General features: G+C 34.5%; 2 protein-coding genes across 2 annotated transcripts in view; one reads left to right on the top strand and one right to left on the bottom strand.

Moving 5' to 3' along the window:
• Positions 1 to 22,246, bottom strand: part of KLRD1 (killer cell lectin like receptor D1) — a 90,648-nt gene that overhangs the window by 56,392 nt on the left and 12,010 nt on the right. The window lies entirely within an intron of this gene.
• Positions 555 to 12,109, top strand: LOC124902875 (uncharacterized). Its single transcript, XM_047429945.1, has 5 exons — positions 555 to 680; positions 1,553 to 1,647; positions 2,773 to 2,857; positions 10,517 to 10,591; positions 10,879 to 12,109. Exons 1-5 carry the CDS (start codon positions 599 to 601, stop codon positions 10,905 to 10,907), a joined length of 366 nt encoding a protein of 121 aa, XP_047285901.1. The 5' UTR covers positions 555 to 598; the 3' UTR covers positions 10,908 to 12,109.

The raw sequence follows: 22,246 nt of genomic DNA, 5'->3' as shown, positions 1-22,246 counted from the left end.
CATCTATGTTTAATGACTGTAAAAATTTTATTATAGAAATAAGTACTAATTGTTTTCATTATTTAATTTGACAGTTATTTTACTTTTTAAAGTGAAACATCCATTGGTCATTTGAAAAATTAGATAAAGCTGTGAATAATTATGTTAGAGATTATATCGAGGGAATAGGGTTGTATGTTGTGTTCAACTGAATCATCTACAATGAGCATAAATATTTACAATCACAAAAAAGGTATTTCTGAAAATCCGTATCTGTTACAATCATTCAAATGCAATGTCATTTATTTATATTACGTTATTTAGTCTATTGTTTTCTAATTTTAAAAAAATAGCAATTAAGGCAAAGAGGAAATCTTTATGGTTAATATTTAAAATTTTATCTTTAGAAATAAAAAAGTGGTTCATCATACATAAAAGAAAAAACAAATTTAATTTGTAAGAGTACATTATCTTTAATTTTCTTAAGTCAAAAACATAGTTTACATATTAGCCTTACTGTAAACATCCTCTCTGATGTCGCAATATTAAGACTTCTGTTGCCTTGGTCCCATCTCATTCTGACCCTGTGCTCATTGGCCCTTACAATTTAATCTGAACAATGGAACCAGAGACATCAGCACTGTCCAGGCTCTCTCATGATCTTCAACCTTCGCCAGTGGCATTTCATGAAATAAATACAGGTAAAACCAGATTCTGCTGTTATTGCTAAATCATCTCTTCTTTTGATGAGAAAATAATATTAAAAATAATGAGTTCATAACCAGGTACTTTTAGAGGAGGATTTGAAAATCTTTTGTCTTTATAAATGAGTTCAGGATTTTCTAATTAGAGGGGACTTAAATCTCAGAAAATTATAGTTTGGTAAGTAAATATTTACAGTTGCACTAGGTTTAATATTATTTAGGGTAATGTTATTGACTTTTGGTGAATGTCATTGACTTTTGGTGTCTATGAGTTCTGCTTCACTTGTACTGAAGGAATACATGCAATATGTTGTGGAAGGAATTTATTTAGTGAGAATTAGATAACGGCTTTTCATGCTCCTTTCATTAGGATTAAATTCAACTATAAGAGGAGGCAGAAATAGGCATTTAAATTAATTTGAATATTTCTACTCTTGCTTCTATTTCCAATTTTACTGCAGATGCTAATGCCCATTATATTCTTACAATTACTATTCTACACCACCGGTATTATTACTACTACTAAAGAAAAACACATATTGAGTGGTTAATATGTTTCAAACACTATGCTATCGACTTTATATACATTAACTTAATCTCTACAATAGATCTATAAACGATTATTGTATTGTTACCTGTATATTATAGATAAGGAACTAAGAATTTTTTTAAAAGAGTAAGAATTTACCACATTTCACAAAGCAAAAAAAAATGGAGCCAATTTTAAAACTTTCTTATGATTATAAAATGTGACAATTTGTATCACATATAATATGCCATTTAATTATATGTTTATGTATCATATAAGTATGTGTATATACATATAGCTGGATTATAGTTGTTGGATGCATTTTTTTAATCTTTTTTAGAGTTTTCTGAGGAAAGTATAATATACTCAGACCTCAAAGTTCATTGTTCTTCAAATATCCAGAACGGAAAAATAACTAAAACTTTGAAAACAAAAGGTAAAAACCATTTAAAACTCTAGATTCACTTTTTGGCTTAAATATTTTAATGAACTAATCACGAAAACAAATATTCTTGAGCTAATGTTTGAATCAGGATTGATTTCTTGTCCCTACACTTTTTAGTGGGTCATAGTAACCTACAGTGCTCTGTTAAGAGCAAATGAGAATGGTCAACCAGGCGGCGATGGCCACGATGACTTAGAATGGTGTACCAAGATCATGGAAAAAGAATGTTTCATACACAATTTCCTGGTTTTGATATTTTAATTTCGAAAAAGTTAAGTGTCTTTTTAGTGCTTCAGTATTTCTACAAATGGAGGATGTGAGATACCTCATGATGAACACGATGAAGTAACTTTTATCAAAACGGTCACAGAATACCTGTCTGGCCAACAGCAAAAGTTGGAGTTTTGTTCTTAACCTAGTTCTGTTACAAAGATGAAAGATATAGTTTAAAAAAAAAAAAAACAATTAGGGAGTGGAGGCGGCTGCGGTGGCTCACGCCTCTAATCCCAGTTCTTTGGGAGACCAAGGCAGGCGGATCACCTGAGGTCAGGAATTCGAGACCAGCCTGGCCAACATGGTGAAACCTCGTCTCTACTAAAAATACAAAAATTAGCCGGGCATGGTGGTATGCACCTGTAATCTCAGCTACTCAGGAGGCTGAGGCAGGAGAATCACTTGAAACTGGGAGGCAGAGGTTGCAATGAGCCAAGATCACGCCACTGCACTCCAGCCTGGGCGACAGAGCGAGACTCTGTCTCAAAAAAAAAAAAAAAATTACGGGAGGGAAATGAACTAAACCCACAGTAGGATTTCTGAAGTGCTCTTTTGTAGCCTTTGGAAGAGTTCTTTACTAGGGCAACTTGTTAGTTCATAAACAGCGCATATCTACATCAAAATATTAATATCTTCTCAGGATGCACCTAAATCTGCAAAATAATTTTTAGAATTACTCCCCACAAGCTGAGGTATATTTTCCCACAGCACGGTGCTCCCATGAACTTACATTTTAGACCAATTCAAGTGGGTTAAATATTCTTGGTGAAAGTTCTTTTCAGTATCAACTCCTGAATCTGGTTTCCATTGATGACATTAGCCAACTTCTCTCTTTTTGAACCGTGTCTCCATGGTGCATTGTTGCTGTGATATTTGCCTTCCTTTATTTAATCGCTCTGGTAATAGTTGCAGCTATGGTAGCTAAGAGTAAGTATTTTTTAGAGCAACTTCATTAATTTTTTAATTACTAAAATATAATTTTAAATAGCCTTTAAATTTGGTTCTAAGGTTTTCATCAAGATATTTTTCTCATTTGTTATTTTAATTATATACAAGTAATTTTATCAATTCAGTTTTTTGAGTTATCAGCAATGGCATAGGCCCCGGTGTCCTCATAAAAAGATGTTAGTGGATAGCTGAGTGGTTTGATAGAAACGGAAAATAGTACCAGTATTCTATATTTTATTATATTGTTATTGACATTAGATTCACAAGCTGTGAGATGTAATAAAATGTGAAAATGTTTATAGATGTTATTGGTTTGGCAGTTAAAAGTTAACTTATTATGGCATTAAGTTCAGATCATTTGAAAGAGCAATTTAATAGAGGCAATAGAAGATGGTAGGTACAGAATCATCAAAAAATGAAAGAATGATCAAGATATCAAACTGAATCTGCATATTGCTTGCACTAAATTTGACTTAATATTATGAAACATATAATCTTTCAAAATAATAAATTTATCAAATACTCCGTACTATAAGAAAACTAGAAACATGAAGAAGTTCTTTAAAAATAGAAAGTTAAGATGAATTTGATTCATTAAAAAAAGAAAAACAACCCAAAACATATGGAGGCATAGATAGATATAAACCAATTCTAATCTCAAAGTGAACTATTTTAGTATAGAAAAGAATATGTAACTTTTAGTAATAAACATAAACTTTTTTGAAATGTATGATTTCCTATGAAGATACGTACTATGATAAAATGACTTGGGAAAAAAGAGACAATTTGAATAAATATTACTACATACTGCAGACAAAATAAGTAAGCTAATCAAAGACGTGCCTCCAAATAGATACCTGGCTGATAATTTTTAAAGAATGAATTTGAGGCTGAGCGTGGTGGCTCACGCCTGCAATCCCAGCACTTTGGGAGGCTGAGGCAGGAAGATCATCTGAGGTCAGGAGTTTGAGACCAGTCTGGCCAACATGGTGAAACCTTGTCTCTACTAAAAATAGAAAAATTAGCTGGGCATGGTGGCAACCGCCTGTAATCCCAGCTACTCGGGAGGCTGAGGCAGGAGAATTGCTTGAACCTGGGAGGTGAAGGTTGCAGTGAGCCGAAATCACACCACTGCACTCCAGCCGGGGCGGCAAAGTGAGACTCCATCTCAAAAACAAAAAAAAAGGAAAGAAAGAACTCAAATATATCTTAATAACAGAAAATGACTACTAGATAAGCTGTTCAGTATCTACCAAAGGATGAAAGATTCTCACTCCACCCCACCTAAAATCAGTAAAATTAGTTTAGGATTATTTCTACATACAGGAAAATATTTTAGGACAATATTCCTCACAAACAGAAAAACAAAAAGAAAACAAAAGTCCTACATAAAAGAGCCAACATAATACATCACTGTTATAATGATAAAATTCTGGTTTAACTTGGGGATAAAAATTTGTTCACTTATCAAGAGATGTTTCAATAGGAGAAAAGGAAATAAATACAAACGTATTTAACTTGATTAAGAGTATTTATAAGAGCCTTCAGCAAATATTATCTTTCACAGTGAAACATTATAATCATTTTCAATCAGGAAGACAAGGATGACTGCTATAACTATTAGTATTCAACATTTTTTTGCATGTCTTCGGCAAGGAAAAGCCACAATGTAAGAAAACCTAGTTAGACATAATATAAACTGGAATTGAAATTAACGACTGAAATTATATGCAGATGACGCGCTTTCTTATCCAGATGGTTAAAAAAGAAACTACTGGAAAGAAACAATCAAAATAAAAAGAACAGTTCAATAAGTAAACTCAATCCAAAATTAAAATAGCTTTCTTATATACCAGCAAGATCTAATATCCAATTTCCAGGTCCACTTTTCAAGCCTCTTATTTGACATTTCTTCTTAGATATCTTTAAAAACGCCTGGTACATTACTTTCAAACACTTTATATTCCCAGCCCTGGTCCTTACTAGGATCAAGAAAAAAATCACATAAATCACATACTTTAATACTGTTAACTTACCCTGCATCTGTTGACCGAATGTCTAGTGAGGTGACGCTAGGGGCCACCTGTGTTATCTCACAGCCACTGAATATCTCGGCTCACTGAGCCAGTGTAATTCTCCACATCTGCACTCCTACCCATCTAATCTGAGGCAATAATCTCCCTCTCTGTCTACTCCATAAACCCCCAAGTGATATTACTATGCCTACCCTTGATTCTTTCTAATCGATTTCCAGAATTGTCTCCTCAAAATGCAAATTTTATAAACTCACTTACCTTTACTGATTAGTTTCTTAACACTGTGGATTCAGTGTAAATTTTAAAAGCCTGAACATGGTTTACAAGGCCCTTCCATACTTGGTCCACAGCTCCCTTCCCCAGCTAAAAGCACACCCTTTCTCCCGAACCAGCCTCCAGCCACAGTTGTTGTCTTTTAGTTCATTGAATGTAACGTGGTTAGTGTGACTGCATAACTATTGTGCAAACAAGGATAACTGTAAGAATGACAGTAGTTCATATTAACAATTACTCTGGGACAACAGGCATAAATCAGGATTTCTCTGGGAAAATTTGTGTGAATTGTAACTTTAGCCACGATCCTTCTAGCCATAGAGCATGTGCACAGACTCCTCTTCTTTCATTCTGTGACAGGTAAAAGGAGAAGTCTAATTATTCTCTTATAATTACGCCAAATTTCTCTGTTATGATATCTTATGTACCAGTTATTTGTAGCATTTTCCAGTCTCATGTGTATAATTATTTCTGTGATTATGTACTCAATGGCTGACTTCTGCTGGATTATCTTCATGAGAACAGAGCCTTTGTCTTTATTTGCTCAACATTTTATCTTCTGCTTTTGAATAGTATGTTGACACATTGTAAATATTTAGTGAAATTTTTTTATTAAATAAACTGATATACCTAATAATGTATATGGCATATATAGAAAAGACTATGATACTTTATTAAAAGGCATAAAGAAGGTCATTAGTGAAGACATTATAAATTGAATATATATTAAATGTACCTTGGTGGGAAGATGAACACTGAGATGATAATACTGTTCTAAATTCATTCTGCACTTATGCAATTTTAATGCAAGTGTATTTTCATGATAAATCAGTTCATTGTAAACTATACATAAAAGTAAAATTTTATGAGATTAATAAAATACATATTGAAATATATTAACACAAGAGGTAAGGATCTAGCCTTTCTAGAAATAAGGCTACTGGGAGGGGGGAGGGATAGCATTAGGAGATATACCTAATGTTAAATGACGAGTTAATGGGTGCAGCACACCAACATGGCACATGTATACATATGTAACAAACCTGCACGTTGTGCACATGTACCCTAAAACTTAAAGTATAATAAGAAAAAAAAGAAACCAAAGTGTAAAATCAAGAAAGTAATAAATGCTGGAATTATTATGTAACTCAAAAACAAAAAAAAGAAATAAGGCTGTAAGTGATTTCACATGACACTTTTATAAAGTAAATGTATCAAAATAAAAGAAAGGAACCTAATAATAAAGTCATATGCAAATATGTACAAATAATATATAATAAAGTCATATGCACCTGTGTACAAATAATGTGTGCATATATATGTGTGTACATATATATGTGTGTGCATATATATAAAATAAGATACAGTAGGCTCTTCAAAATGACAGATATCTAATAATAGGTATGAAAAAATAATTTTTTTAAGAATATAAAAACTAAAAAATAATTTCTAGGTAGATTACAGTGTTAAAAATAACAGACCAGGAAAAAAATAGTTGAAACAGTTTGAATACGTATTCAAATCCATATAATATTATCAAAAGTATAACAGTTAAATAAATACAAAGAATTTTTTTAAAAGATGAGCCAAGGATACATAAGTAGGAAAAATGTCCAACTTCAAAGGTAATCATGGAAATGAGAATGTATTTTAAAATACATCCTTTGCCCATTGAATTGACAAAAATAATACTTTTCCTCATAGGTCAATGTGTGGAGAATGGACCCTCTCATACAAATTTGATGTGTGAAACTGTCAAGTTATATTTTACTTATATTTTACATTTACTTATACTTTAAAAATAAGAAACAAGTATGTATGTACACATACAAACACATACACATGTATAAATTTACCTAATTAAGTCAGAAAGACATGCAATAATCTATTAATGTGGAAGCAAGGGTTAGTATGGAAGCAATCAATAATCTGTTGCTATGGAAACAAGAAAGAAGTAAATTTATTCATAAGCATGCAAAAAAAATTGAAAACGGTCAAAAAATATATATACACAGCATTTTACAGTGATCTTTTTTGCTGATATAAATAGTGTCAGAGGGACCATGAAGGGAGGTGTTCTTCACTTTTTACAGTATATATTCAGTTTCTTTTGTAAAGTAAATTCATGTGTTACTTGTTTAAAGGAGAAAATAATTGAAAAAGGAAATTATGCTCCATAAATGAAGAAGCTGTACAGGGACATGTTAGACACAAGGTCGTAAATATCAGATGTAGCGGTATGGCCTAGGCCTAAGAATCTTTTTCTTTTTTTTGAGAGGGATTCTCACTCTGTCACCCAGGCTACAGTGCAGTGGCATGATCTTGGCTCATTGCAACCTCTGCCTTCTGAGTTCAAGTGATTCTCCTGCCTCAGCCTCCCGAGTAGCTGGGCTTACAGGTGTGTGCCACCATGCCTGGCTAATTTTTGTATTTTTAATAGATACAGGGTTTCACCATTTTGGCCAGACTGGTCTCGAACTCCTGACTTCAGGTGATCCACCCGCATCGGCCTCCCAAAGTGCTGGGATTACAGGCGTGAGCCATCGCGCCCCACCGTATGGCCTAAGATTCTAATGGATACTCCTCTGTAATGATGTTGTGCTGTTTCAGCCCAGATATATATGTTGAAATATATTAACAAAAGAGGTAGGGATATAGCCTTTCTAGAAATAAAGCTGTGAGTAATTTCACATGATAAGTTTATGAAGTAAATATATCAAAACAAAAGGAAGGAGTCTAATAATAAAGTCATATGTCTCTGTGTACAAATAATGTGTGCATATATGTGTATGTCTATATATAATATGATAAAATAAGTTCCTCAAAATGACAGATATTTAACAATAGATTTTGAAAAAATTTTTTTAAAAGTAAAAAATAATTTCTAGGTAGATTATGGTGCTAAAAATAACAGGTAAAATATAAGTAAATATGTGTGTGTGTGTGTTTGCATGTATGTGTACATATATAGAGAGAGGGTATTATTCAGCCTTAAAAAAAGGAAATCTTGCCATTTTGAAAACATGGATGAACTTGGAAGACGTTATGCTTAGTGAAATAAGCCAGACACAGAAAGTATTGCATGATATCACTTATATGTGGAATCTTTTTTTTTAAGTTGAACTTAGAGAAACAGAGAGTAGAATGGTGGTTTCCAGAGTCTAGGCAGTAGAAGAAATGGAGAGATATCGGTCAAAGGATACAAACTTTCAGTTAAAAGACGAATAAAATCTAGAGATTTAATGTTCACCATGGTAATTATGGTTAACAATAATGTATTGGACTCTTGAAATTAGCTAAGAGAGTAGATCTTAAGTGTTCTCACTACACACACACACACACACACAGAAGGTAACTATGTGAGACGATGGACATATTAAGTTGCTTGTGGGAATTATTATGCAGGTCTACTTACACCAAAATACCACATTGTACACCCTAAATATACACAATTGTTGTCAGTCATACTTAAATAAAGCTGGAAAATAATACAATTCGATAAAATGAATTACCACTCCATATAGAAGACTATTTTATTGCTAGAGCGAAGCTGTGTTTTGTAGCAACTGGACATACTACTTTGATAATTACACCTTGGTAATGTTTGAGAACACTAGCATAGTTTAAGTGTAGTGAATACTTACTTTTAAATGAAATAAAATATAAATTGGTAAAATATCCTGATAAACAGAAGCTTTTCCCTCTGTTTTACTATTATCAAACTTTGTCCTAGTAACCAAAAGGGAGGAGAGAAGCAGTTGAACCATTAGAAGTAGTTCCCTGCATCAAATAAGCTAATCCTATCTGTGAATTACCAATTAGAAGGGAAACCTTCAGTGGATAATAATGGTTTAGCATAAATGAACCAGAAATCATCAAATATATGACAGAAATAGAGGAGGAAATGCTAAATAAACAAGAATATTCTTGGGTAGAAAAATAATTCATGCATGGCTTGCTTATGCAGTGATGACTTAAGACTTAGCTTGATTATTTGGTTTCTCATTAGTTCATTTTGAAAAAGATAGGGAAGTGGTTGTTTCACGTTCAACTAAGATCATGTCCATGACTAGCCACATCCATCCTATGAGAATATATTTAAAATACGGAATAACCCAATTTGGGAACAAAATGGAAAATTGCAAATTTGAGCAAATGGAAAACTAGTGACAATATTTTCTTCTTTTTCCATTAAATCATCATAAGAAAAATACTCAACTTCAATACTCTGGGTCTGGCGAGGGAACGACTCAGCAATACTTATGACATTTATTTCCATGAGTCTAGCAATGCATCTGGTACTCAAGCTGGAATAACATGGTTCAGATAACTTAAAATCATGGGGACATGAGTTTGTACAGGACTAAACTGAAACTTTGTGGGTAAAATATTATAAGATTTTGTTATTGGACAGGGATCAGATCTGATCTCAGTAAAGCAGAAATGCAGACAGATTTCTTCTACAATTCATGTCAAGTCTCCCAAATCTTTTATACGTGACCACGGACCATTAAGACTAAAATTAATTCAAATTAGGGATATTCATTCTTATTTTAAAAATTCAAATTGTGCCATCTCTAGTGCCAGATTCATAAAAATATTATAGAACACATCAATGCAAAATCATGTAGTTTAAAGATTTCATATATGAAGGTAGTTAAAAATATAACTGGTTAGAAAAAGTACAATTGTGTAAATGGTACAATTTTGTATAATTTTAATGTTAATGAATTAGAATTTTAGCATATAAATAGTTCATAGCCTCTGAAGATGATTGAAAGTGTACCATTATTCAAGGTATGCTTTGGGGGTGTTTACTCTGGAGGCAATTTGTGGAAAATACTGGAAAGTGAAAATTAGAGAGAGTTTGTATAATATTAAAATAGCTCAGCATAAAAATAATGACAATCTGAGTAGGAAAAAGCTATGTTACTGTGAAGAAGGAAACAGATATATGAAGCATTGTCGTGATAAACAGTACTTTGTGACTGATTAGACGTACACTACGTCTAAGGTGTTTGCTGCAAAAATAGCATAGGTTGTTTTTTCCTGACTGCCTGGGTTAACTAACTGCTTAGAATAACATCAATCATATATACAAACATGTGCTTATTAAATCACCAGTCATTGACTCATAAATATATTTCATAAGTAAAAGTTCATACCTTAATATAAATTGCAAATGATAATTTACAATTTGTTCTTCATTCAATTAAAACAATGAATGCATAAATTGTGTGTAAGAAATTTTGGATATCTGTTTTATTTGCCATCCCAAATGTTTGAAAATGATAATAGTATTCTCTTTTGCAAATATTGTGAATTTCAGTTCATTGTCTTAAAGAGATCCTGAATAAGGCAACCATTGAGACTGCACATTGCAACATAATATCACAAAACAAAGGTAAGTATTGGTTTACAATGGGAATGTTGGTATCTATCACACATAAGCTGTTTAAATCTAGATGTATTTTGTAAATATATGTAAATATGTATTAGGTAAATATTCACTTTGTAAATATAAGACCAAAGTTAGTTAACAATGGTGTACTTGTCAGAAAAACTCTCGTATATCAGGACTTCTCTTGAAGTTAGGGAGGACAATTGAAAACAATAATGCAAAAATTATAATTCACTGAATGACTGTAGGGGACAAAGTTATCTTCTAGCATGTTCTTTTTGTTTGTCAAGGTAATTGGTCTTCCTTTGAAGAAAACTGACATTTTATATCTACTGAAAATAAAATCTTGGCATCAAGGAAATTTGTTCTGAAGCATTGAGCTCCAGTCCCATCAAGACCAATAATGAAGAATTGGAAGTGTATAATGTGGTATTCATTCTTACATTTTCTTACACATCAGATAATTATCAATAGAGAATTTTTAACATATTGTGTTCACTTAAGCATGCTAAACTCAACATTTTATAAATTGGAGACATCTCAATCAAACTCAAAAGATTAAAATATGACCTTAAAATGATTTTAGATTTTAAATATATTTGCATACAGAAGTAAATGCAAATATAAGAAATTTCAAATGTTGGCTAACAATGGGGGAAAACATCACATAGACACAGAAACTAAAGGGAATCTGGTCACAAGTGGCAACTAAAAAAGAGCTAATATTTGTTGATTGCTTCAAATATTCCTGGTACTACATCAATGATTGTGGGCATTAACTCACGTGTTTTCCCATTAATCTTATGATACAAGTATTACCACTGCCATTGTTGTATTAATAAGAAAACCAAGACCCAGAGAGAATGATACTTTTTTTCTGGGTATCAGAAATAGTAAGAATTAGAAGCTTAAACTATGATTTAAGCTAAAAGAGTCTAACTCTAAAGATCAGGAACATAGTCATTATGCTTTGCTGATCCCAGAACAAAAAATCATAATGAATCAAATTGTAAGAATATTGCTTCTTTGTAAATAGTCAGAGCTGCTTATACAAGCAGATTTACGTTTTTCTACCCTGCATGTATCTTCTAAAGAGGAACAGTGAGAAAAAGAATAATAGCTCTTCATAAGGACTATTTTGATACTAATTATTGTTTGGAATGTGAATAAAAGACATTAACAGCAGTAATGTTTCCCGCAGTAGATCCTAGCAAGCCTAAAGAATATAGATGTCTTTTATATTTTAGTTCTCCTCTACTATGTGACTATTACTTCTATATTATTTCTTCTTTTTCATTGTATTGAAGTTCTGTTATTGCCTTTAATAAAGACTTCAATTCAGATCAATGATGGTAAATTTATGGCATATATGCTGAAAATTTCCATACAGTATTCTTAGAAGGTGCTCTTCATAATTGCAACATCCTTCCCTACTGAGCCAGACTTCACTTTGAATAACTTTCAACAGAGCACACCAGAAAGTCTCTTCCAATTGCATTACTCTCATCTCATCTACATACGGTGCTTCAAAGTGAACTTGTATATACACATCAGCAATGAGCTCTTTCAGCAAGAGCAAACAAAAAATGCACATAAAGAGCAATGAATTTGCTAAGGCAATTGCTCCTAATGGTCTATTACCTCAAAAAAATTTTTTTTTTTTGGTTTTTTGTTGTTGTTGTTTTTTGTGATGGAGTCTCACTCTGTGTCCCAGGCTGGAGTGCAGTAGCATGATCTCAGCTCACTGCAAGCTCCACCTCCCGGGTTCATGCCATTCTCCTGCCTCAGCCTCCCGAGTAGCTGGGACTACAGGTGCCCACCACCACACCCGGCTAATTTTTTTGTATTTTTTAGTAGAGACGGGGTTTCACCATATTAGCCAGGAAGGTCTCGATCTCCTGACCTTGTGATCTGCCCACCTCGGCCTCCCAAAGTGCTCGGATTACAGGCGTGAGCCACCACGCCCAGCCCAATTTTTTTTTGTATTTTTAGTAGAGACGGGGTTTCATCATGTTGGTCAGGCTGGTCTTGAATTCCTGACCTCGTGACCCACCCACCTCGGCCTCCCAAAGTGCTGGGATTACAAGCGTGAGCCACTGTGCCTGGCCTAAAATTTGTTTTTATAAATCACAATTTCCCCATAACCTAGAGTAGAAGAGATAATATCTGAATTTTCCACAACTGATAGAAAATATCAAACTACATACTATCAAAGGCTTATGAACTCCAGCAGGGTGAATAAAATGACAAGTTAGGTGTATCATATATAACTGTTGAAAAAAAAAGACAAACAGAAACTTACAGGTAGGAAGAGAAGCAAAGTTTACTTTCAAAGGAGCAACAATTATAATGGAAGCTAACCTACAAAAAGAAAAAGAAAATGAAGGCTATATGATTATTGATTGACAACAACTGCCATACTAAAATTCTATCCTCAGAGGCAATCATCTCATCAGATGGGAATGATATGAGCATTTAGTTATACAGATGGGAATGATATGAGCATTTAGTTATACAGATGGGAATGATATGAGCATCTAGTTATACTCCATAGGTAAAAGAAAGACCATTTAAGTAGAGCAAAAACAATTTATTATATCTTTATATCTGTATTAAGAAAGTACACTAGAAGAATATCTTTTTTTTGTTTTGTTTGTTTTGTTTTGATGGAGTCTCACTCTGTCGCCCAGGCTAGAGTGCAGTAGCATGAATTTGGCTCACTGCAACCTCCACCTCCTGGGTTCAAGCAAGTCTCCTGCCTCAGCCTCCCAAGTATCTGGGATTACAGGCATGTGCCAAAACGCCTGGCTAATTTTTGTATTTCTAGTAAAGACAGGGTTTCACCATGTTGGCCAGGCTGATCTCAAACTCCCAACTTCACGTGATCCGTCTGCCTCAACCTCCCAAAGTGCTGGGATTACAGGCTTGAGCCACCATGCCCAGCCCACAATATTCTTTGGGTTTAAGAAAATGATCTCAGATGAGACCTCAAAGACTCAGGATAAAAGACAATGAAATAGGTAAATACAGATGTAAGTCTAAATGAATAGCAATTATATGAAACCATAAATAATGTCCACTACTTTAATTGCATAAAACTAAAGTTTACTACAGTACATACACTTACATTAAAGAGTTGCATTTTAACTCAAAAGAATAATAAATAGAACTAAAAAGCTCTAAATTTCTTATAATGGCTAGGAAAATGTAAAGTAACTACATATATTGGACATTAATAAGTCAAGGATGAATATTATGACTTTCAGAAAATGACCAAAATAATAACAAAATATTCTACATAACTATGATGATGATGGAGGAATGCATCTTAAAAATGGAACAACAATAATGTGATGGAGTAATTGTCAATCACTAGAACAATATTTAATTAAGCCAATAAGAAGAATTGCATATTAGAATAATTCTTAGAATTTTACACTGAAGGCTGTGGGCATTCTAGCCAGAACTATCTACTGTGTCTTTAGTGGATATTCAGGAGGCCATGGGTTACTCAGGGTGGATATTACAGAACAGAATAAATGCTTTTGATCTCAAAAGTAGAAGCATCCCCAGGTACCTCGGAATCACAGTTTCCTAGTGTTTCTCTTTCCCATCAACTAAGTCTTGCTTGCAGACTAATTCTATTTATCTCTGCTCATTGCTCCTTTTGCTACAAATGATCTAAGTTTCTTTGGCTTCTTCGTAGGTCTTACAGATTCCCTTTTCCCAAGGTTTGGTGTATATATCTAGAGTTTGGGAAAGCATAAATATATATTTTTTCAACCTCTTTTTCTAATGAAAGATAGCCATATGCATTTGTGTGAAGAAGTCATATTAAGAGTCTCATTTTCATATTGTTCTTCACTCTCTATTTCTTTCAGTGACAAGTGAAGACATGAATTAAACATTCAAGGTCCATTTAGTTCTATTTCCTCCCCCTGAGACATATATGTCTTTGGAAGGACTACTTTGTCTGCAGGTAGACTTAGTGGTGGTTGATTCTTCCGATTTTTTCAATAGCTGAAATTTCAAACATACTCATTATCTAAATTTCTATTTTTCAATAGATCTTTTGTTCCAGGACTTTGTAGTCCACAGATATAATTCCTATGAACAACTTATCACTGGCTATTCTACTTTGGTTGAATTCCCAATTATTGTTCCCCCAAAGAGAATGCCTCCCATCCCAATGTGGCTGGAGAGAATATGTGAATATGTTCTACTTCCAAAGCCTATTATTCAGAAAGAGTAGTTTATATTGTGTTGGACACTGCCTAGTAATTAAATAATAAAAACACCACAAATGACTCATGATACAAGATAAAAAAATAGGGATAGTGCATGGTGCCACTGAAACTTGACAGAGCAGAAGGAGAGCTTGAGCTAAGCACAACTGAACACAGTATAAATTGTACTACAGAAAAGAAATTCTGTTTCCTTTGGACTCATATGTTTATAGAGGTATTGGGGTAAGTAAGGAAAAACTGACCTAAGCTAGATTCACCAGGTCATCAGCAGGCTAGCAAGTTTGTCTCCCTACAATTATACAAATACTCAGAATGTTAAGTAAAGTCAAGAAAATTTGGAATGTGACTCTCCAGGACATTAAGACACTCAAAAGTAGCCACATGTATGGGAAAACAGAAAAAGCCACACAAAGACCCAGGAAAATTCATGCTCCAAAAGACCTGAGAAGACCTTAAGCCTTTACCTAAAGCTAATCCCAAGACCTACAGTACACAGTTAATAGAGAATTGCCTTGGCAAAGAGCCAGTCTTCAAAGACTGGGAGAGGTAGCTGTTTTTTTCAAGTGCTCAATTTTCAAAAAAATCTCAAAGCATACGAAGAAACAGGAAAACACAACCCATTGGAAGAAACAAAATGAATCTTTAGAGACTGTTCATGAGGGAGCACAAATATCAGATCAGTAGACTAAGACTTCAAAATAACTGTACTAAATATGCTCAAAAAGTTAAAGAAAAAAACAGAAAAATAACTAAAGAAAAGTGGGTGATACATAGAACAAAATGAGAATATCAACAAATAGAAAATATTAATATAAAAATCAAACAAATTCTAGAGACGAAAAATTAAATAACAGAACTGAAAAATATACTGTTACTACAAAAAAAAAAAAAAAAAAAAAGAATCAGCTACCTGGAAAGTAAACCATTTGAAATTACTGAGTCAGAAGACAAGAAATTTTTTAAAAGAACAGAGAAAAGTGAACAGAGACTAAGAGATTTAATGGACGTTATTTAACAGACCAATATACCCATTATAAGTGTCATAGAATAGGAAAAGAAAGAGTATTTAAAAAATAAAGAAATTTGCCAAATTTGATTTTAAAAAAAAATCATGAATCTTACAAATCCAAAAAGCTTAATGAAGTCCAAGTAGCATAAATGAAAAGAGACCCACAATAAGATATAATCAAACTGGCAAAAGCCAAAGCCAAGCAGCAAATCTTAAAAAAAAAAAAAAAAAAAGAAAAGAAAAGAAAAAACAAAACAAAACAAGAAAATATTTGTCACAAACAAGGGCTCCTTGATAAAATTACCAGTGGAGTGTCCAGCAGAAGCTTTGGAGGCCACAAGGCAGAGAGGTGGTATATCTAAAGTTATGAATTAAAAAAAACTGTCAATCAAAATTTTAATATCTGGCAAAACCATCCTTAAAAAATGAGGGTGAAATTAAAGCATTTCAAGATAAAAAAAATCTGAGGCAGTTTATTGCACTAAACCTGCCCTAAGAGAAAAGCTAGAGAGAGTTCTATAGAGTAAAATGGAAGGATGCAAGACAATAATTCATCATCATCATATGAAGATATAAAGATCTCTGGTAAAGATAAATGCATCAGCGAAATATAATGCCCAACATCATTAAGATTTTGGTGTGTAATTTCACTTTTTATTTTTTATAACATTTAGAAGCAATTGAATAAATTAATAATAAATCTATGTTAATAGTTACAAAATAAATACAGATGTAATTTATGATATTGATATCATAAAGCAGAGGGGTGGAGCTGTGTAGGAGTAGAGTTTTAGTTTGCCACTGAAGTTGTTAGTATTGATTAAAAATAGGTTGTTAAAAATTTTAAATATTATAAATAATCTTTAAGTTAACACAAATTATAGAATATACACAAAAGGAAAGGAGAAGATAATGAAAATGTGTCTCTACAAAAAAAAAAAAAAAAACAGCTAATCACAAAGAAAGTCAATAATGGAAAAAATGAGTGGGAAAATAACTATAAGACACCCTGAAATAAATAGGAAAATGGAAAATATAAGTCCTTCCCCATCAGTAATTGCATTAAATATAAATGAATTAAAATTCCCAATTAAAAGGCATGGATGGGCAGAATTGATAGCAAAAACAGGATCTAATAAGAAGGTGTCTATAAAAGACTCACTTCAGACCTGAAAACACATATAAGTTGAAAATGAAAGAATGGAAAAGATATTCCAAGCAAAGAGTAACCAAAAGAAATTGGGATGGCCATACTAATGTCAGATAAAGTAAATGTATATATATAAAAGACAAAGAATATCATATATTAATAAAAGTGTCAATTCCTCAAGAATAAATCACAATTATAAACATATAGGCACTAAATATCAGAACCTTTAAATATATGAAACAAACTTTGACATAACTGAAGAGACAAATAGATAGCTCTCCAATAATACTTGGAGAATGTAATGCCTATGTCCAATAATGCAAAAAACAACCAGAACAATAAGAAAGTAGAGGACTTGAGCAACACTATGGACCAACTGGACCTAAAAGACATATGGAATATTCCAACCAACAGCAGCAGAATATACATTTTTTTGAAGTGCACATGGAGAATTCTTCAGGACAGACTATATGTTAGACCACAAAACTGGTCTTAATTAATTTTAAAAGAGTAAACTCATAGAAAGCATTATTTCCTATCACAATGGAATGAAACTAGAATTCAGTAACAGAAGTAAAACTAAAAATTTGAAAATTAGTTAGAATGTAAACAACACTTTTAAATAACCAATGAGTCAAAGAAAAAATACAAGGGAAATTAGAAAATATCTTAAAGCTAATGAAAATAAAAACACAACATACCAAAACATACGGGATGCAACAAAAGTAGTGCTTAGAGGCAAATTTATATCTTTAAATACATTGGAAAGAACATCTTAAACCAACAACCTAACTTCATCCCTTAAGTAACTAGAAAAAGGAAAATAAATTAAACCCAACGCCAGCCAAATGAACAATAAATACTAGAAGGTATGTACATAAAATAGAGTGGAAAATAGAGAAAATAAACAAAGCCAAAAGTTGGACCTTAGAAAAGATTAACAATATTAGTAAACCTTTAGCTACAATGAATAATTTTTAAAAGTCCTCAAATTACTAGTAGATATAAGACACTGCAGTTTAGCTCTTTGAGGAATCTCCGTACTGCTTTCCACAAGGGTTGAACTAATTTACACCCCCACTAACAGTATATAAATATTCCCTTTTCTCTGCATCCTCACCAGCATCTATTATTTTTTGACTTTTTAATAATAGGCATTCTGACTGATGTGAGACAGTGTCTCATTGTGGTTTTGATTTGCATTTTTCTAATGATCAGCGATGTTGAGCTTTTTTCATGTGCTTGTAGGCCACAAGTATGTCTTCTTTTGAGAAGTGCCTGTTCATGTCCTTTGCCTACTTTTCTTTTTTTTTTTTAATTTATTTATTTTTGAGACTGATCTCGCTCTGTTGCCTAGGCTGGAGTGCGGTAGCGCAATCTCAGCTCACTGCAATCTCCGCCTCCTGGGTTCAAGTGATTCTCCTGCCTCAGCCTCCAGAGTAGCTGGGATTACAGGCAGGCGCCACCACGCTTGGCTAATTTTTCCTTGTATTTTTACATGAGACAGGGTTTCACCATGTTGACCAGGCTGGTCTCAAACTCCTAACCTCAGGTGATCCACCAGCCTCAGTCTCTCAAAGTGCTGGGATTACAGGTGTGAGCCACCACGCCCAGCCTTTTGCCTACTTTTTAATGGGGTTGTTTGTTTTTCTCTGGTAGATTTGTTTAAGTTCCTTCGAGATGCTGGATATACATTAGTCCTTTGTCAGGTGCATAGTTTGCAAATATTTTCTCCCAGTCTGTACATTGTCTGTTTACTCTGTTGATAGGTTTTTTTTTTTTTTTTTTTTTGAGACGGAGTGTGGCTCTGTCGCCCAGCCTGGAGTGCAGTGGCGCGATCTCGGCTCACTGCAAGCAAGCTCCGCCTCCCGGGTTCACGCCATTCACCTGCCTCAGCCTCCAGAGTAGCTGGGACTACAGGCGCCCTCCACCGCGCCCTGCTAATTTTTTGTATTTTTAGTAGAGACGGGGTTTCACCACGTTACCCAGAATGGTCTCGAGCTCCTGACCTCGTGATCCACCCGTCTCGGCCTCCCAAAGTGCTGGGATTACAGGCGTGAGCCACCATGCCCTGCCCTCTGTGGATAGTTTCTTTTGCTGTCCAGAAGCTCTTAAGTTTCATTAGATCCCACTTGTCAATTTTTGCTTTTGTTGCGATTGCTTTTGGTGTCTTTGTCACGAAATCTTTGCCCATTCCTGTCTGTGTCCAAGATGGTATTGCCTAGGTTGTTTTCCAGCGTTTTTATAGTTTTAGACAGAACTACCATTCAATTCAACAATCCCATTACTGGGTATATACCCAGAAGAATATAAATCCTTCTACCACGAAGACACATGCATGTGAATGATAACTGCAGCACTTGTCGCAATAGCAAAGACTTGAATTCAACCTAAGTGCCCATCAATCACAGATTGAATAAAGAAAATGTGGTACATATACACCATGGAATACTGTGCAGCCATGAAAAAAGAATGAAATCCTGCCTTTTACAGGAACATGGATGGAGCTGGGGGCTACTATCCTTAGCAAACTAATGAAGAAACAAAACTAAACACCTCATGATCTCATTTATAAGTGGGAGCTAAATGATAAGAACTTATGAACACAGAAAAGGAAATCACAGACACCATGGTCTACTCAAGGGGATAGGGTGAGAGAAGGGAGAGGAGCAGAAAAGGTATCTATTGGGTACTGGGTATAATGCCTGAGTGATGAAATAATCTGTACAACAAACCCCCATGACACATGTTTACCCATGTAACAAACCTTCACAGGTAGCCCCAAACCTAAAATAAAAGTTAGAAAAAAAAGACACTGTGAAAGAAAAGATGCCCGAATCCGAAGACATTGCAATGAAAACTAAACAAAATGAAACACATTAAAGAGCATTTAAAAAGTGTATGAACGGAGTATCAGTGACCTGCGGGACAGCTGCAAGGGGCCCAACGTACGCCTAAAAGCAGTCTCTGGATACATAGGAGGGGGCAAAAAGTATTCAAAGAACTTACAGTTGAAAACTGAGATTTAAATACTGAAATTGAAATGTTTCCAAATTGCTAGAACTATAAGCATATAGATCTAGAAAGTCCACGAACCCCAAGCAAAAGAAACATAAGAAAATCTACTTACATGTACATTATAATTAAGTTCTTCAAAACTAGTGATAAAAAAATATTAAAAGCATTAGATAAGAAATGTTTTATGCAGAGGATTGTCAAACTTTGTTTATTAAAAGTTAAATTATTCATCTTTTTTTTTTTTTTTTTTACAACTGCCCACTGACTCACTCAGGACAGCAAAGCCAGTAATGCTATGTTCAATCAAGCATTCTAGGCCCAAGTCACAACTCACACCACTGCACTCCCAACCCTGGTTCATTCCCTTTTGTGTACACACAGCTGCGATAGTTTTACTCCCTACCACCCCCACCATTCTTCTTCAGTGTCATGTCTTGGTTCACTTGAATCACCTTCCTCTGAAAGTTATTCCTCTTTCTCAAAGATGAAGTCTTCATGTTCATATACATTCTCAAGACACATCCTCTCATGGAATCTACTGTCTTCCCTGTAATGGTCATTCATTTAGTGCCCTTGCTTGTTTAAGACAACTAATGATTCTATACAATCATGAATTCAAATCTTAAGTAACATGAGGGAAGAAGAACTAACTTCTTATAACTTGAGAATGTGGTGGGGTTTGTTTGTTTGTTTGTTTTTTGGAGACAAGTTCTCATTTTGTTGCTCAGGCTGGAGTACAGTAGCGCAATCACAGCTCACTGCAGCCTCAACCTCCAAGGCTTGAGTGATTCTTCCACCTCAGCTTCCCAAGCAGCTGGGACTACAGGTGCACATCGCCACGCCCAGCTAAGTTTTGTATTATTTATAGAAAATACGTAATACACCTGCACATCACCACACACAGCTAATTTTTGTATTATTTATAGAACATACATTTATAGAACATAAATATGTTGCTGAAGCTGGTCTCAAAATCCTGAGTTCAAGGGATTCACCTACATCAGCCTCCCAAAGTGCTGGGATTATAGGTGTAAACCACCATACCTGGCCTAGTGTCTTTTCAATGACAAAAACAAGAGTAAGATTATCCACTTCAATAAGCAAAAAGCAGTAATTTAATTTGATGTGATTTTTAAGAAAATCTTTGTTTCCTCTGAGGAACTGGTATGTTGTCTCTCCAGAATTCAGGAGAAATGTGTAATTGACCAGACCAGAGGTCCCCAAGCCCCAGGCCACAGACCGGTACTGTGGCCTGTTAGGAACCTGGAGCACAGCAGGAGGTGAACAGGGAATGAGTGAGCAAAGCTTCACCTATATTTACAACCACTCCCCATTGCTGGCATTACCACCAGAGCTCTGCTTCCTGTCAGGTCCGCAGAGGCATTTGATTCTCATAGGAGCACAAACCCTGTTGTGAACTGCACATGCGAGGGATCTAGGTTGTGTGCTTCTTATGAGAATCCAATACCTGATGATCTGTCACTGTCTCCCGTCACCCCCAGATGGGACTATCTAGTTGCACAAAAATAAGCTCAGGGCTCCCACTGATTCTACATTACGGTGAGTTGTAGAATTATTTCATTATATATTACAATGTAATAATAATAGAAATAAAGTGCACAATAAATGTAACGCACTTGAACCATCCCAAACCATCCCCCTCTTGCTCCCATCCATAGAAAAATTATCTTTCATGAAACCGGTCCCTGGGGCCAAAAAGTTTGGGGACCACTGGACCAGACCATTCCTTTTTGTGTTTGCCAAAGAAATAGCATAAAAGGGCTGGGCATGGTGGCTCATACCTGTAATCCCAGCACTTTAGGAGGCTAAGACCGGAGGATTACCTGAGGTCAGGAGTTTGAGACCAGCCTGGACAACATGGTGAAGCCCTATCTCTACTAAAAATACAAAAACTAGCCCGGCTTGGTGGTGCTTGCCTGTAATCGCAGCTACTCGGGAGGCCAAGGCAGGAGAATTGCTTGAACCTGGGAGGCGGAGGTTGCAGTAAGCCAGGATCGCACCACTGCACTCCAGCCTGGGCAACAGAGTGAGACCCCATCTCAAAAAGAAAATAGTATAATAACAAATAATCACTCACTGTCCCAAACTCCAGAGTGAAAGGTTAGTATGTTAACATCTGTAGTTAATGCTAGTGAGGCAACATATGTTAGCTCCAGTTTATGGAACTTCAGAAATCCCGATTACAAAATTATGACTACATTAAATAAGTCGTT

This window comes from Homo sapiens, chromosome 12 (assembly GCF_000001405.40).
Source record: "Homo sapiens chromosome 12, GRCh38.p14 Primary Assembly".
Lineage (NCBI taxonomy): Eukaryota > Metazoa > Chordata > Mammalia > Primates > Hominidae > Homo > Homo sapiens.
This window is presented reverse-complemented; position numbering and strand designations above follow the sequence as displayed.

Excerpts from the sequence above, each read along its gene's own strand:
- LOC124902875 (XM_047429945.1), top strand. The coding sequence starts at position 599 with ATGGAACCAGAGACATCAGCACTGTCCAGGCTCTCTCATGATCTTCAA. Across the intron at positions 2,858-10,516 it reads TGCAGCTATGGTAGCTAAGA|TTCATTGTCTTAAAGAGATC; the intron begins GTAAGTATTTTT and ends TGTGAATTTCAG. Across the intron at positions 10,592-10,878 it reads CATAATATCACAAAACAAAG|GTAATTGGTCTTCCTTTGAA; the intron begins GTAAGTATTGGT and ends TTGTTTGTCAAG.